Source organism: Homo sapiens, chromosome 3 (assembly GCF_000001405.40).
Source record: "Homo sapiens chromosome 3, GRCh38.p14 Primary Assembly".
NCBI classification, from domain to species: domain Eukaryota; kingdom Metazoa; phylum Chordata; class Mammalia; order Primates; family Hominidae; genus Homo; species Homo sapiens.
This window is the reverse complement of record NC_000003.12, coordinates 189,809,443-189,825,254: the sequence shown is the minus strand read 5'-3', so window position 1 is coordinate 189,825,254 and position 15,812 is coordinate 189,809,443. Positions and strand designations below refer to the sequence as shown.

General features: G+C 37.2%; 1 protein-coding gene across 13 annotated transcripts in view; it reads right to left on the bottom strand.

Moving 5' to 3' along the window:
• TP63 (tumor protein p63) overlaps positions 1-15,812 on the bottom strand; it is a 300,531-nt gene that overhangs the window by 72,022 nt on the left and 212,697 nt on the right. The gene's annotated exons all lie outside the window — the stretch shown is intronic.

The following is a 15,812-nucleotide window of genomic DNA, read 5'->3' as shown; positions in this document are numbered from 1 at the left end:
AAATAACATTTTAAGGTGATTCCTCCAAAACTTTATAAATCATTTTAAAAATTAGACATGTTTGAACAGGCACTAACACACAAACAGGTCTTGGCTGTATCTCATGCAGAATAAGGGTTTGTTGCAGATGTTCTCCTGCAAGCTACATCTTGCCTATTACAAGAACATTCATCTCCCAAACACACCATTTTACCTTCTTTGCCAGAAGCAAAACAAAACACACGCACAAATCAGAGAGCTTTTATTACTATTATTTTTAATTCTGAAATTCTTCCACTTATTCTATATCCTTACAGAGGAGAGGAACCAAACATCTGATTTCTAAAATGCTGCTGTCTGATGATAGCTCAGTTTGCTTTCCCCCTGAACAAGCTACTGATATTAGGGGAGTCTAACCCATGTCTTTTTTTTTTTTTTTTTAAACCTACAAAACCGATGCCTGGGCCAGCACTGACTCATAAAACTGGAGACATTAGCTCATGGCAATGATTCAGTCGTGAGAATTCTGACAAGGGCCTCTCCCTCCCTGGTGCTTTAAGAGGAAAATCGTCCTGAGTAAGTATGGCTTGTGATCTAGGCACAGATGTTACTGTGTCTGTGATCAAGTATTATAAGGAAAGGGGCAGTGCCGTGTGACAGCAGCCACCCTAAGGAGAAAATCACTGTCTTCACAGGAAAACAGTTTCACAGCAGCCCCGGCACAGCCTAATTGGAAAAGTCCAGGCTAGGCACGGTGGCTCACTCCTGTAATCCCAGCACTTTGGGAGGCTGAGGCAGGTGGATCACCTGAGGTCAGGAGTTCAAGACCAGCCTGGCCAACATGGTGAAACCCCAACTCTACTAAAAATACAAAAATTAGCCAGGCATGGTGGCAGGCACCTGTAGTCCTAGCTACTGGGGAGGCTGAGGCAGGAGAATGGCTCGAATCCGGAATGGCTCGAACCCAGGAGGCAGAGGTTGCAGTGAGCCAAGATTGTGCCACTGCACTCCAGCCTGGGTGACGGAGCGAGACTCTGTCTCAAAAAAAAAATAATAATAATAATAAAATAAATAAATAAAACAGTCCTACAAAAAGGCCCTGGGCTCCCACGGCCAGCCATTTCAATCAGCCTGGGAGAAAAATATGAATTTTATTCACTGGACTGCTTTGGTTTCTCCTCAAGGAGAGAGGAAAGGCAGGTTTCCTTTGAAAGGATCCTCTTGAAACGATCAAGGTTTGGGGGGCTATTAGGCTTTTGGCATTTATTGCTAGGTGTGAGAGAGAGAGCATGAAAGGAAGTCTTGAGATTAGGCTGGATAAGAGTTATCTCACTGAACCAGCACCTTCATCTTGGACACCAGGTGAGAGGATACAAATGTTCATTTGGCAAGACAGAAAGCTGAAAGGTATACCTGCTGCCTCTATCCGAAGTCTATCATGCGGTTTGCATGATAGACTTCCTAGTTTACAAATCACTTTCACCCCATCATCTCATTTAATCCTCACAATAACCCTTCAGGATAGGTAGCATCATCCTCATTTTGAAGACAAGAAAACTGAGGCACTAGGGAGGAAGTGATTCGTCAAGGTCCCAGCTAGAGAATGGCAGCCAAGCCTTTAGGACAGACCTGCTCTAGTAAAATAGCTAATCATTTTGGCTCCTTTTCTGGCTCTCCATTCCTCCTCCCTACCTTTCTATCTAGCCCTTTGGAGTAGTGACTTCAGCAACTGACTCTTGCCCTATCTCACCTCTGTCCTTCCCCTGGTGAGTGAGCCACATCACCGACTGAGTGCTCAGCTCCACAGTGTGCGTCTGCATGCCGTGGCATTCTCCAAACTGCTCTCCTTTACTGCAGGCCCCTCCAACCAACCGCCATCTGCTGTCAGGTTAATCTACTTTATATACCGATCTGAAGAGGTGCTGAAAAAGTATGCAATGTCAGCACACTGCCCATGCGATAGAGTTAAAAAGCCTTACCCTACATAGGCTGGCCCATCCTACCTTTTAGCTTCACCCTATGTAGTTTCCTACATAGAACCACAGCTTCAGAGAGAAAAGAAGAGTCACTGTCCTGGGGAAAGGCACAGAAGGCTTGCTGTGTGTTTTGGTGTAGGCTGAGTCCACTGCCTGTCTGGAGAGTCTACTCTCTTCAGTTAACCAATGGTCTGGCATAGAAAAGGTCAATTGCAGTCAATCTGTATCTTTCTGGTCACAAAATACTTCTCTTCTGGATGCAAAGAATTTGAATTCAAGGGGAACTTCAGAGGCTGCTTGATTGTTTCTCTCATCTAAAACTTGAGTCAAGGGTGTCTCACTCTCTGGAGGTGGAGAACTCACCACCACTGGAGGCAGTGCAGCCACCCCTAGAGAACCCTGACCATTCATTTTCTGCTGCAATCTGCCTTCCTGTGGCTTCCCTTCTTACGTGGTTATTGTGCCTTTGGGGACATCTAAAGAAGTCTAAAATATCTCTAGGAAAGCTGGCCATAAAGAAGGAGCTCTATACAACTGATGAAGAGCGTTATCATTTTGTAGCATGAGTCCGAGTCATTTTGGGCTAAGGCTCCAAAAATAAACAATGCTCTTTCCCAGGGCACTTTAACTTATCTCAAAATTGTGCTTCTGAAACAATTATTGAAGGCACTTGTACATCAGAAGTGTTCCTGGTAGTGCGCCTGGGTATAATAACTCAATGTTACAAGATAAATACTACTCATCTTCCTGGAACAACAATTTTAAAGACTTTTTAATGAGGGGAAGAAATACCTATATTGAAATATATATTTATATTTGAATGCAAAGTTGAAATAAGTTTTTCAGAAAGAAAATGATATGTCTTCTATGGACCATTTCAGATTAAACCCTCAGGATGGCTAATCTAGCCATTCATTTTCCTCTGCTCTTAATTGGGGTAAAAGTTTTAAAGTACTATCCTAATACATCACCTCTACTAGGCACCAGAGGCTAGAGCTACTTTATGGAGTAGATTTCCTGCTATGATTCTGGACAAATCTATGAATAAGGTAGGTTTAGTGTAAATTCTAATCCTAAATCTATGATCCATCCTAATAGAAATTACCATTTACAGGCATTGTTTTAGGCACTTTATACTTATTATATCAAATCCTACCAATAACATCGTTACCTAAAGGAGTATCATCCCTATTTGAAAGGTGAGGAAGCCGCTCTAGAGACAGTGTTTAGCCCAACACCATACAGCTAGAGAGAAGTGAAATTCAACCCCCCAGGTCTATCTGACCACAAAGCTGAATTCTTTCTCCTACACCCTCCTGTTTCCTTAGGCACTATTTGTCCTTTAGTAAAAGAGCCATAGTCCCTGCTTTCAAGAAGAGCCAGGATGTGCTAAATATCATATTTGTAATCTTCATCTTATAAAACAACCAAAAAAGATATACTGTAAGTATCATATGCTTTATACGATATCTCGTAATTAGCAGTTAAGGGGACATTTTCATTTTAAATCAGGAACTTATGGAAAGAAGATAATTCAAAGTATTGCATTTTTTGTTTCTGAAGTCTAAATTCCAATGTCAAATTAAGAAAGCAATAAATTAGGAGATAATCTATGCCCTACAACCACATGCCCAAATAACAACTTAAAAACAAAAGTTCAAACCATTAGAAACAGAAAATCTGTTAGTTGGGAATGCTTTAAGCGAGGCTTAGGAAAATATAACCTCTCTCACTGTTCATATAGCAGCGTGGGCAGTACCCAGGCAACACTCTAATTCTTTCCCTTGTTGTTCTGAAGCATCCTCCATGTGGTAAGCACGCTTGACCCTCTATTGAGACCAGTGACAAAAGATGACAAAGTAGCTGTGGCCATTTCTTTCTCTCTGGCTCTGGAGGAGGTGGAGATTACTGCAGTCACCAGGACCCTCAAATGCAAACAGTATGAATGCAGGAATCAAATCTAAGCGCTGTGAAGTGAGGCTGTATTCTGAGTTAGTGCAAGGGAAACATACATTCAAAAGTAACCATAATAAAAGAATACTTCTAACAAGTAGAAAGAACATAAAAGTAAAAAATGCTTCTATATGAAAATACTGCTTCAATTACATCACAGCACTAGCTACCAAAATAAAACCACTGCTAGTACACATGAATCAAAGGTCTTAATTTGTTATTGCTTTTTTTTGTTCTTTTCACTAAAATTCAAATAGATATTTAATGAGACCTTCCTTCCTGGAAGTTTCAAAGAATTTTAGAAAAGTATACACAATTACATATTATTCATTCATTAAGACCACCTAAAGTAGTGGGTATATTTTGAAGAAAATGCACTGTGTTCAAAAAGCAGCAAGGCTTACTAGGCAAAGGAAAGTAAGACATCTTCTTTCCTGAAATAGTTCAGTCAACTCTCCTAAAAAGAAAACTGAAGGAAATAATAGGTATGTCCTTATATTTGGAAGCAAAAATACCCATGAGATTACAGAATGTAATAATCAAGGACGTGAAGATTGTAGATAGATTGAATTTTAACATGCTATTTGAATTGGTTTGGGTCTCTTCCTCATATTAGAAGTTTATATCCATAAAAATATACCATCAGAGCTACAAAACCATCTTAGAAAACATCTAACTAACAAATGTAAAATGCGTGCATTGTACTTCTGTAAAAGGCTCCACTCACTAGTATCCAACAAACCATTTCACTTCCCCTTTCTCCTTTTGTCCCTTCTGATGATGCTCTCCCTATCTCCACCCCTAAACTCAAAGTGTCTAAGATGACAATTACACTTAGGTTGGGGGAGTGGTGAGAGAAAAGAGTCTATAAAACCTTAAAAGATTGTTCCCAGAGGCATTCTTATACCTACTAACCCCATGTCTACCATGCTTGTGCAAGGAGAAACATTATAACTGAAATCCATGCCGTGCTAGGTAAGAAATCAGTTCTGAAATATGAATGCATTGTGGAAACTTATACAAATGGTCGTATATTTAATTGCTTTTTGAAGAGAAAACCAGACTGCAAGAAGTCTATAGTTCCTTGTGGTTCTGAGGCTGAGTGAGTCATTTTCTTGTCCCCATCTACATCACTTGCTCTAGCTTTTACAGCAAAAGGTAAACAGATGAGTTAATGTTTGCTAAATTATGTGATAATTCTCAGACATAAAGTATAAATAACTGCAAAATATGCCTTTGTTACATTTGCATACAAAAGTATTCAATGTAGTCATTGACAATAGATAAAAGTAAAATAGGGCTGGGCGTGGTGGCTCATGCCTGTAATCCCAGCACTTTGGGAGGCCGAGGCGGGTGGATCACAAGGTCAGGAGTTCAAGACCAGCCTGGCCAAGATGGTGAAACTCCATCTCTACTAAAAATACAAAAATTAGCTGGGCATGGAGTCACGCGCCTGTAATCCCAGCTGTTCAGGAGGCTGAGGCAGAGAGTTGCTTGAACCTGGGAGGGGGAGGTTGCAGTGAGCTCAGGTGGCACCACTGCACTCCAGCCTGAGTGACAGAGTGAGAGACTGTCTCAAAAAAAAAAAAAAAAAAAAAAGGTAAAATATAATCCATTACCAGTGAGTACTGTGAAAGAACAATAAAAATCTAAAGAATGAAGTATCTTTTGGTAACTCTTGGATGTTGACAATTCTATTTGTAAAAGACTTGACTTAAGCAGTATTAAAAATGTTTATTTGCCAAGTAGCTAAACTTAAAGGTAACAAAATTAGACAAAAGCATTTTATAAAACAGTGTAAACACCGCATGTTCTCACTCATAGGTAGGAATTGAACAATGAGAACACCTGGACACAGGAAGGGGAACATCACACACTGGGGACTGTTGTGGGGTGAGGGAAGGGGGGAGGGATAGCATTAGGAGATATACCTAATGCTAAATGACAAGTTAATGGGTGCAGCACACCAACATGGCACACGTATACATATGTAACAAACCTGCACATTGTGCACATGTACCCTAGAACTTAAAGTATAATAATAATAAAATTTAAAAAAAAAGTGCACATTTGCTTATACTTATATAACTTCAACACAGCCTGGGTGGGAGAATAAGCAAAGCAGAAAGAGGTTACTATCTTACGTGTCTTAGTTCAAAAAGAGATTTTTAATCATCACAATAAGGATACATTTTCTAGGCATCCATTCTAACTATGGGAATATAGAAAAAGTTATTCCAAATTCCTACTATGAAAACACTTTCTATTTTTACATGTTGGTCAATCTGCTTTATCTATCAACTATCCACCGTCTTCCAAATGCTTTATTCACTAAATCCATGGTTTTGTATAGAAAGGTTATAAGAAAGGTGATAAACTTGAATTGTGTTTAAAGACAAACTCTGGGTCTAACACATAAATCATGTTCTCAAATTCCTTTTCTAACATCAAGGCAAAGGTCTAGAAGTTTCCCCATTAGCAATTCAAACTCTTCTCATATCTAGCTGCCTTTGAGGACCTTTTATTTCCTCAAGACTACTCTGTTTTGGGGAGTGGGGTATCAGGCAGGAAGAGTAAATACACTCCAAAACTACATTTTCAAATTCAATCAGATACAGTTTTTTTTCTTACAAGCAAAATTCTTAAGTAATATCATTAAAAATGGATTCAATTGCTTAAAATGAAGACTGACCTACACTATAGAATTTTTTTAAGCATCATTCCTAGTAACAGGAATATATTATACAAGTATCCATTCTAATTTTCCTACGAAAATTTTGAGAAACATAGGCTTCTCAAATTATTCCCCATGAAATGGATCAAAATTATGGCATGTCAAAATGTTAAAAGTATTTATTATAATAGCAGTCAGTTCTAGATAAGTTTATAAAAATAACATTTTATAAGTAAACTTAATACATATATGTCAAGGCATATAAAATATTTAAGCAAAGTTTATATGACAATGAGAATCATTTTGTTATTTCCAATAATTATACTGGCTTATGGTGGTAATAGCTTTGCTTTTATGACATAGAGTTAAACATATCTATTACTTACTTGATGACAATAGCTTGGTCAGAAATTTTATCCATAATTATGACACTGTTCTTATGGGAAAACATGATTTTTCTTTCAAGAATACAAAGTAGGAATAAAAAGAATTTTCAAGGCAATTTATATTAACTCCAGGGCTCTATATACATTTTTATATTTTATAAATATGAAAATCTCAAATGAACACACAGTAGAAGAAAAAAGTAAGGCAGAAAGATAGAAGAAAGGAATATCTTTCAAGCCCAAATTATCAAATTCTAATTACTGTAAATTAATTCCATTGTTATTCAATTGGAGTAATATATTTATATTTATATATATCTAAATGCGCATATTTATTTACATTTAAATAAGTATTTACATTTTTTAAATGGAGTAAATTTTTCTTCTCATGACCCAGTAAAGATGACTGCATTTTAAAACTTTTTACTGGTTCTGCAAAAATGTTACGAATAAAACACTGAAATGCTTTTAAAAAAATAAAGCTGGTTAACAGATATAAGATTCAATTAAACATTTTTTAAGAAGAAACTCTTTTACATCAGAAAAAAATTATGTGTAATTTTTTCATCCCATATGAATGTCTAGGGACTTATATATTTATGTTATTTTATTTCATGTCTTTGTAGAAATAAAAAACCTCAGAAAACTGCCTGAATTGTAAGCATCGTTATGATACAGATTCAAGCAAGTAAATCTAAAAACAAAAATCCAGGATGAGATAATAACATATTATGTTTTTAGAGCTTCATCTCTCAGGCTCCCAAAGCACTTTATAAACTTTAATTAAGCCTCACAGCAATCTTGCCAAGTAAAAATTATAATACTCATTTAACATACAGACAGAGACAAAAGACCTGCCCCAGTTCATATAGCTTGTTAGTACCCCAAAGTTGTCCTTCTGAGTCCCGTATTCTACTTAATGAGTCACACTCCTCAGGAGCCTGTCAGATGTCTTCTCAAATTCAAATGAGAACCCTTAAGTAATCATTAGTCTTCTTATTTAATACAACTTGGAAACCACTCAAAGGAAAAGTCTTTAGAAATAGTCTCCTCAACTTATTCATTATAGTTTTTATAAGATTCAATGCAGATGATACTGGCTGAACAGCACATGAAGCAAAACAAAAATAAAAACTTAGGCATTAATCCAAGAAGGAACTCCTATTTAATCAATGAACTTGAAAGGTTGGTACTAACACAATTAGCAATTAAGGTCCCTGCTCTGTTTTCAGGCCTTTCTGATACAATAACAAGGTGGCAAGTTGTAGGGTTTTTTTTTTCCCCCACATGAATCTTCATTATTAAATTCAGACTAAAATGAGAAGTCTCATTCTATCTGTAAAGTCAGAATCCCTCCCTAATTTACCTCACAATAAATTAGATCTAGGGTCTCTGACTACTATCAAATTTTCTTTTAAATTTCACGTGGGGGGCTTAATGATAAGGTCATGATCATTACTAAAAACCACAAGAGAGAAATCTACTAAGATCATTACCTTTACGCCTCTGTGTGCCTCATTACAGGATCCATCATTCTAAAAACCATTCCATATCTACAAAATGTCTGCAGGGCTTCAAAGAACTGAAGAATTATCTTTCTATCTTTCTATTCTACAATAAACTCTTCTTTAATTTTGAAGAATTGGAAGTTGTTGGAAAGCTACATTATCTCAAGTCTCCTTTCAGTCACAGTGACCTGACTAGACATACCAATTGCTGCTAATATAAAACCAGGGGGTTTTTATATATAGTTATATGGTTTTACTCGCGATATGACAGCTGTAACTGCTGAGGACTTTTCATGAGAAACATACATCGGCCCTTTACCAAAGCGGGTAGGAACAATTGCATAGACTTGGTCACGTTATGGAAATAACCTAATTTGGGGAATGCGAACAGGAGAATGTGCAAAGCTCATGTATGGAAATGTACCAAGAGCGACAATCCCACAATAAATGGTACACATCACTCAGGGCCGATTTTAAGTTTGCATTCATTTTAAGGGATCTCTTTTGAGCTTAATGATATAGTTTTCCAGAGTCATTAAAAGTTCTTATGACATTATTTTCTCTTTATACTTCAATTATCAGATGATTTTTGTTCTGGCACACTATGTGCCAATTAAAAGTAAGCTATCTGTTAGTAAGCTGAGAAAATTGATTAGAAGCCCTTTAAATCTCAAAGCTCTTTTCTGAGTGCAACTTTGGCCAATTTTAAGGAGTTAAGTTACAGAGTTCCATAATTCTCTAATGATAAGCACAGGAACAAACAAACAATAAACTTCCAAGTATCCAATCCTGCATGCCATTAGATTTTTAAAATATAAAATGATATAAAAATGAGAAGCAGAAAGGTCATTTGCTGTAAGAAAACAAGTTGAGAAAAATATGTTCTGATAATGTATTGCTTAGTTAAATGCAGCAAGAGATTAATCTATATGACTTTGTAAAGGAATAAAGAATTATTACTTGTGAATAAAATATACCCACTAGTAACCTTTCTCTTAGATGCTGATTCCAGTTATTTTAGTTATTTTAATAACTAACTTCCAATTAATTTATTTAAACATTTAGTAATCTCCCCTTGTTACCATTAACACCTTGCACAGGATGGCATGCAGCCTGTGTACTGTTTTGTTTGGCCTGTAGTGTTTTACAACTTTTTTTTGAATTAGTATCATCATTTTAAGATATGAAGATATTACATGCAAACCCAGGTTTCTAGTTACTCTTTTAAAAATTAATATTTAAGAGTTAATATTGTGATAATTAATTTAATATTTTAAATATTTTAATACTAGGTCTACTTTCCCCTGTGACAACAGTCTGGGATTGTAAAGCAGATGTCCTTGTAGATACAGTATATAAGCTCTTTTGCCACAGTTTCTGTACTTATCATTCGGCTCATTTATGCTACCTCCCTGACTCCAATGACATTTGGGTTTGCTACCTCTAAAGCAGCCCATTATTATTCACCAAAGTGATTTGTTACATGAAAAGGTTGTGATAATTTAATCCTGATAAAAATTTCCACGGTGATTGATATATATCATGTTCTCCATATTAATTTATGGAGAAGAGTGAAGCTATAGTAAAAAAAAATAAAGAAAGATACCATGTAGCTGATGATACCTACAAAACCAAATTAACTAACAATAATAACATAAATGAAGGAAAAAAGAGAAGGAGGGAGTAGAAAGAAGGGGGAGAAGAAATGCGGGAAGAGGAGAAGAATAGGGAGAAAGAAGAAAAGGGAAAAGCAGAGGATTTTTGCTGTTACTCTTTGTAGTAGGAAAAGAAATATAAGCTTTATTTAAATTATTCATTTTTAAAATCAATAGTTTTTATAATGTTCACATGCAATAAATCAAGATCAGTTTAATGTTAAATAGACACTCCACGGTGCAGTGAACAAATCACTCAAAATAGTATGGGAGGCTGATAAGCCTTAGATTAGATTAAACTGGCTCATCACGAATACGTTAACCTAGAGTCAATCTAAAACTCAGGCAAGAACGCTGATTCAGTTATTCTGCTCTGGATGAGGGAACAACTCTTCGGAAGCATGCCTTACAATGAATATTCATTTTAAATCCAAAACCTAGAGGTAAGTTACTTGAACCATCACCAAAAATCTCTAAGCACTTTATTTAGTACATTCTTCCTCAATACTCTGTGAACTAAGAAATAGTTTAGATAACAGATTAATATGCTCAATGCTATTATTTTCTTCATCATGGGAGTGGCACAAAAAGGCACCTGATACACATCTCACATAATTTATGAAACAGCTATGGCAAGAAGTAAAAATTATCTTGTTATGATAAACACGAACACATGTACCAGTGGCACGAGCTACTGACTTCTGCCCCTCACCAATAAAATCTAACAGCCACTGAATTGTAAGATTAGATCAAGCCCCAGATGAGACTCAGACTTTAATGGGGGAAGTGCTTCCACTGTGAAAGAAAACTGATAAATCCTATTTACCATCGAAGAGTTTGTCTGTACATCTTGTCCTTTGATGGGCTATTCTTAAGAGTCTCTAAATTCCAGAGGGCCACGCAATTGGCTGGGTTGCATTAGATTTCTGCAGAGCTGGCAGCCTTTTTCTAAAAGTCTTACATTACAGGTAACCTGATGACAGGGAGGGTGGGCCGCAGGCGCGCATCTCAGCCTGCCTGCGGAGCCAAAGGGAGTGAGCTTGCGAGACCAAGACCCATATGCTGGGATCAATGGAACTCTCCCGGGAACTGGCTGTTCCCCTTTCAAACGCCACCTCCCTAATCTCTCCACTTGCTCAAGTCAAATTCTCCACAGCTCTGAACATGACACGAAGCTGGCATGGTTAAGAAAGGCAAAGGAAGAACACTCTCTATAAATCATGGGTGAAGGCTACAGGGAACAAATTCACGGGCAGTTAACAATCAGAGTCAGAATTGAGGGCTCCTGCTGGGAACTACAATTGTTTCCTTTAATTATGAGAGAAAAAAAGTTCCTTCCCATTTATTAAAGGTTTACTGTGTGCTGGACATTGTGCTGGGCACTAGATCAGGGAGTCTGCCATACAAGACCTTGAGGTCAATGACAGGAGAAAGATACAACAGCAAAAAGTGATCCTATGTCCCAAGGGTAGGGTCCTTACTTCAGTCTGAACACAATTTAAAAAACAAAACAATGCAAAAAAAAAAACAACCTGAGGATTTTCATGGCGTATGCACACAGAGAGTACTCTCGTGTCATGAGCGGTGAAAAATAGCTCTCCAACTGGCAAAGGTGTGTGAGGCCAATAATCAAGACAGACTGAACTATGTTCACCAAGAAGCCTCATCACTAGAGGGGAGCACAAAGAAACACCGCCCCTACAAGTGGGGTTCCTTACCAGGACTCTCAATTCTCAAGCAGGTGCCACAGAAAGCTTTCTTTTTCCCTCACCAGCAACTCCCAAAGCTTTCCTTATCAGTACAGAGAATTCTTTCTAATGGCCGTATGGTTATTGCTTATAACATGCCATCTAGTTTTTCACGGGTGACTGATCAGGTTGCTTCCAGTAGTTTGTCATTATACATTAATATCTTGAGTCTGCCATAAGTAAGGCCCACTGTTATTCCTTAACACAAAGAATACAAAAAGGCATTCCCATCATGAAGCATCAGATTAAAAATGAGGAACGAATGTCAAAAATCAACAGGTTCTTAAATCTGGAAAGGGCCTCTCCTTGCACTGGCAAGGAGAGCCTACATCTGCTTGGGCAGGCTTCGGAAAGCAGCAGAGCCAGCCTGCAGAAGTCTGCATGCAGGAGAGGCTGTTATCACCCTATACCATCTATTCATATATTTGGATAGTGGATAGTATCACAGTCCCTCTATAAAGTATGCATGTTAATAGCCCAAAAGCTTTAAGAAAAAACATTAGTTGAAATTTTATTTTTCATTCTCTCAAATGAGTACCTTTAGTACAACTAAAGGTACTAAAGTTTTGTCGAAGCCTCAACAAAACTACAATGAACTCACGAACCGAAGAAATTCAAATTCAGACCCAATAAACACTTGGGAGCATATGAGTAGCTAGGTGCTAATAGGTATGTTTACATGAAGTAATCCTCATGATAAGGAAAGTATTAATGTTCCCATTTGTTCCCATTTGTAGGTGAGAAAAGTGAGGTTTAGAGAGATTGAATTTTTGGTGAAAGCCCCATATGCTGTTAGTAAGTTTCCGAGTTGAAATCTGAATTTAAGTTTCTTGCCATCTCCACACTACCATTCTTTCAACTGTCCTATGATTAACGATTCCCAACTACAATGCTAGACCAGCACTACATTATATTAAATGATAGGCCTCTGTAACTAGTATCAATTAAATTGTGGAAATAAGAAAATCTGAAACTAAAGTAAACGTTGGTTTGTCGTGTATGTATGTGTGTGTGAAACAGAGAAGATGAAAAATGTTGTCTTATTTTACTTCATTTCATTGAAAGAAGTTTAAAATAAATACCATATTTTTGTAGAACTGGAAACATAATCACATTTGTTATTTAAAACACAGAAACGCAAAGGAAAAATGCACATATACTTTAAATATATTAGCTATATTTTGACAGTAATCCTGAGGGTAAAACCAGAAAAGTTAAAAAAGAAAACTTGACATAAAAGGATTGCAAGTGATAAAATGGTACTAAAAATATTTTTATTAAAGAATTACCAGAAGACTATGCGATAAGCATGATCTCCCCCTAATGACAGCAGCTTCTGTTTCTTTCAGTTTGTGGGCAGTTCTAAAATGCAGCATTTTATTTTGAAAAATTGCTCTAAAATGCACAAATGCCTAAGAAATAGGTGTTGTATAATAAGGCACAAAAAATTTCTTTACCAGTTGGACTCTGGGACATAAGAGGCAAGCTCCAAACTACACAGGCACTGCCTGCTCCTGTATGCCCCTCCCTGGTCTCAAACCAGAGGAGAAACAGTCTAACTAGGATGGTGGAGAGACTTGAATTAGGGTGAGGGAGGCCTGGATTCTTCCCCATCCTTGGCTGGTTATTAGCCATGTGACCTTTACATCTTCAAGTTTCCTCATCTATAAAACTGGGGATTACAAACTTGGTTATGAGGCTCAACTAAGATAAATATATGAAAAAATACTTTTTAAAATGGGAAGTCTGTGTATAAACATGAGGATATATAATTTGGCTCAAAGAATTAGAAGCTAAGATGCAGGTATCCATGACGAAGAACTTACATCTTTTTAGGTGATCTCAGTAGCTGCTCAGATAAGGGTTCAAGTGCCCTAATTTAGAAGAAATGAACTGGGCCTGAAATAAGCCTGGTTGTGAACAAGAAAGAAATTTAATAAAAATATAATTACCATGTGATATGTGAGTAGAAACCTGATTGTAAAATTTATAGGTAGAATGCAGAAAAGTGAACAAAAATCCAAGAGAAGCAAAATCACTTAACCAAGGACACTCATGAATGGCAGACAATATATCGATGCGAACCAAAGCCCTTCTAAAAACTTTCTACGTTAATTATTAATACTATCATCTCACCTTAAGAAAACAGAGTAGGTTTCTCCATTCTCATCCTCTTTCTCATCTGAGGCACAGACTGAATTTTAGAAAGATCAAGTGACTTGGCTAAGTTTGCATAAATGATCAAGACCATAATCCAGGTTTTCTGTCTCTCAGTCAGTGCCTTTTTCTCATCACCACAGTGTATCCCTTTTGTCAGGGCACTGATATTACTGCTGTCACATGTAAGGAAATTTTACCAGTGTACCAGAATATTTTCTTTTCTTTTAAACCTAACATTTTGGTAGAGATCTCCAACTTTTTGAGTAAGACAATTGACTTCTCTGAGAGAGGGGCTTTGAGTGATGGTTTAGGATTATGCTAAACCTGAAAATAACTTTAATTTTTTTTTTTTTTTTGGAGACGGACTCTTGTTCTATTGTGCAGGCAGATCACATGTAGTGGTGCGATCTCAGCTCGCCACAACCTCTGTCTCCCAGGTTCAAGTGATTCTCCTTTCTCAGTCTCCCCAGTAGCTGAGACTACAGGCACCCACCACCACGTCTGGCTAATTTTTGTATTTTTAGTACAGACAGGGTTTCACTATGTTGGCCAGGCTGGTCTTGAACTCCTGACCTCGTGATCTGCCTGCCTCAGCCTCCCAAAGTGCTGGGATTATAGGTGTGAGCCACCACGCCCGGCTTTTAAGATTTCTATATGAGGAGGTAGTGAGGAAGGGACAGGGAAGGATAACTAATTTGATGTTGAACTTACATCAAGATTCATCCCCATGGTTTTCTAAAAATTTTACAGGGAAAAAAAGCGATTATTCATTTAGCAGCCCTAATATGCCCATCATCTCATCAGACATGCTGACTCCTAATATAATGGAGACCTGGCGGAGTAAACTGAATTAGTAACTGTTAGCTTTGAAGACTGGTGACTGTAAATGTCCGGTTGGTGACCTAAGAGATATCAGTGCTCCATTTATAAAATGGTTATTCTAGTGGCTCTTTAGCAAGATACTACTTAGATCAATCAACCAACTATTTGAAGCCTATAAACTCTAAGTTTACTCACCTGCAGTATCCATCGCCTCCAGAATTATAAAAGTAAAGGAAACTAAGGATTATGACTCCATTGATAAGTAACACGTGGAGGAGAGATCAAGTTTTAAGCTGATGTTCATGCTCTACAGTTGAAATATGAGCCACCGGAGAATTACTTCTCAAACCACAAGAGGAAAGAACTAAAATAACATTAATTTTTAGACAATTTTGGGAGATCCTGATATAAAATGGTTGAAAGAAAGGATACAATCCAGTGAGAGGGAAGCAGAAATGAAAAACAGGCCCAGCTACACACAAGTTTCTGTAAGTTTAGGCATGCCTCTTAACTTAACCTCCAACTTCTTCAGCTTTCCTCACTAGCACAGTGGAAGTTATAAAACTTGTCCTGGGTACTTCACAAAGAAATGAGGTGAAAAAGAGGAAATGGATGTGAAATGATGTTAGAGTGTAATAGGTCTTAGGCATGCCGATCATTTTATAAACTATACAAACTAAAGGCTGGAATGAACTAGATACTATATATAACATAAACATAGAAATGCTTTCCAAAGAAATCCATTTGTCAAAGAGGGAAAAAACTGTCAAAACAATTCTAAAGCTACTTTTTATTAAGATGATGATATTTGGAAGCATTTCTATAATCCATGTAAACATTAAGTTGTTTGACAAACATACCACTTTGGTCTTGATTAAGTTGTTTGACAAACATACCACTTTGGTCTTGAACATTCTTTGATCAACCAGTTAAAACCAACTTTGTAGGTGT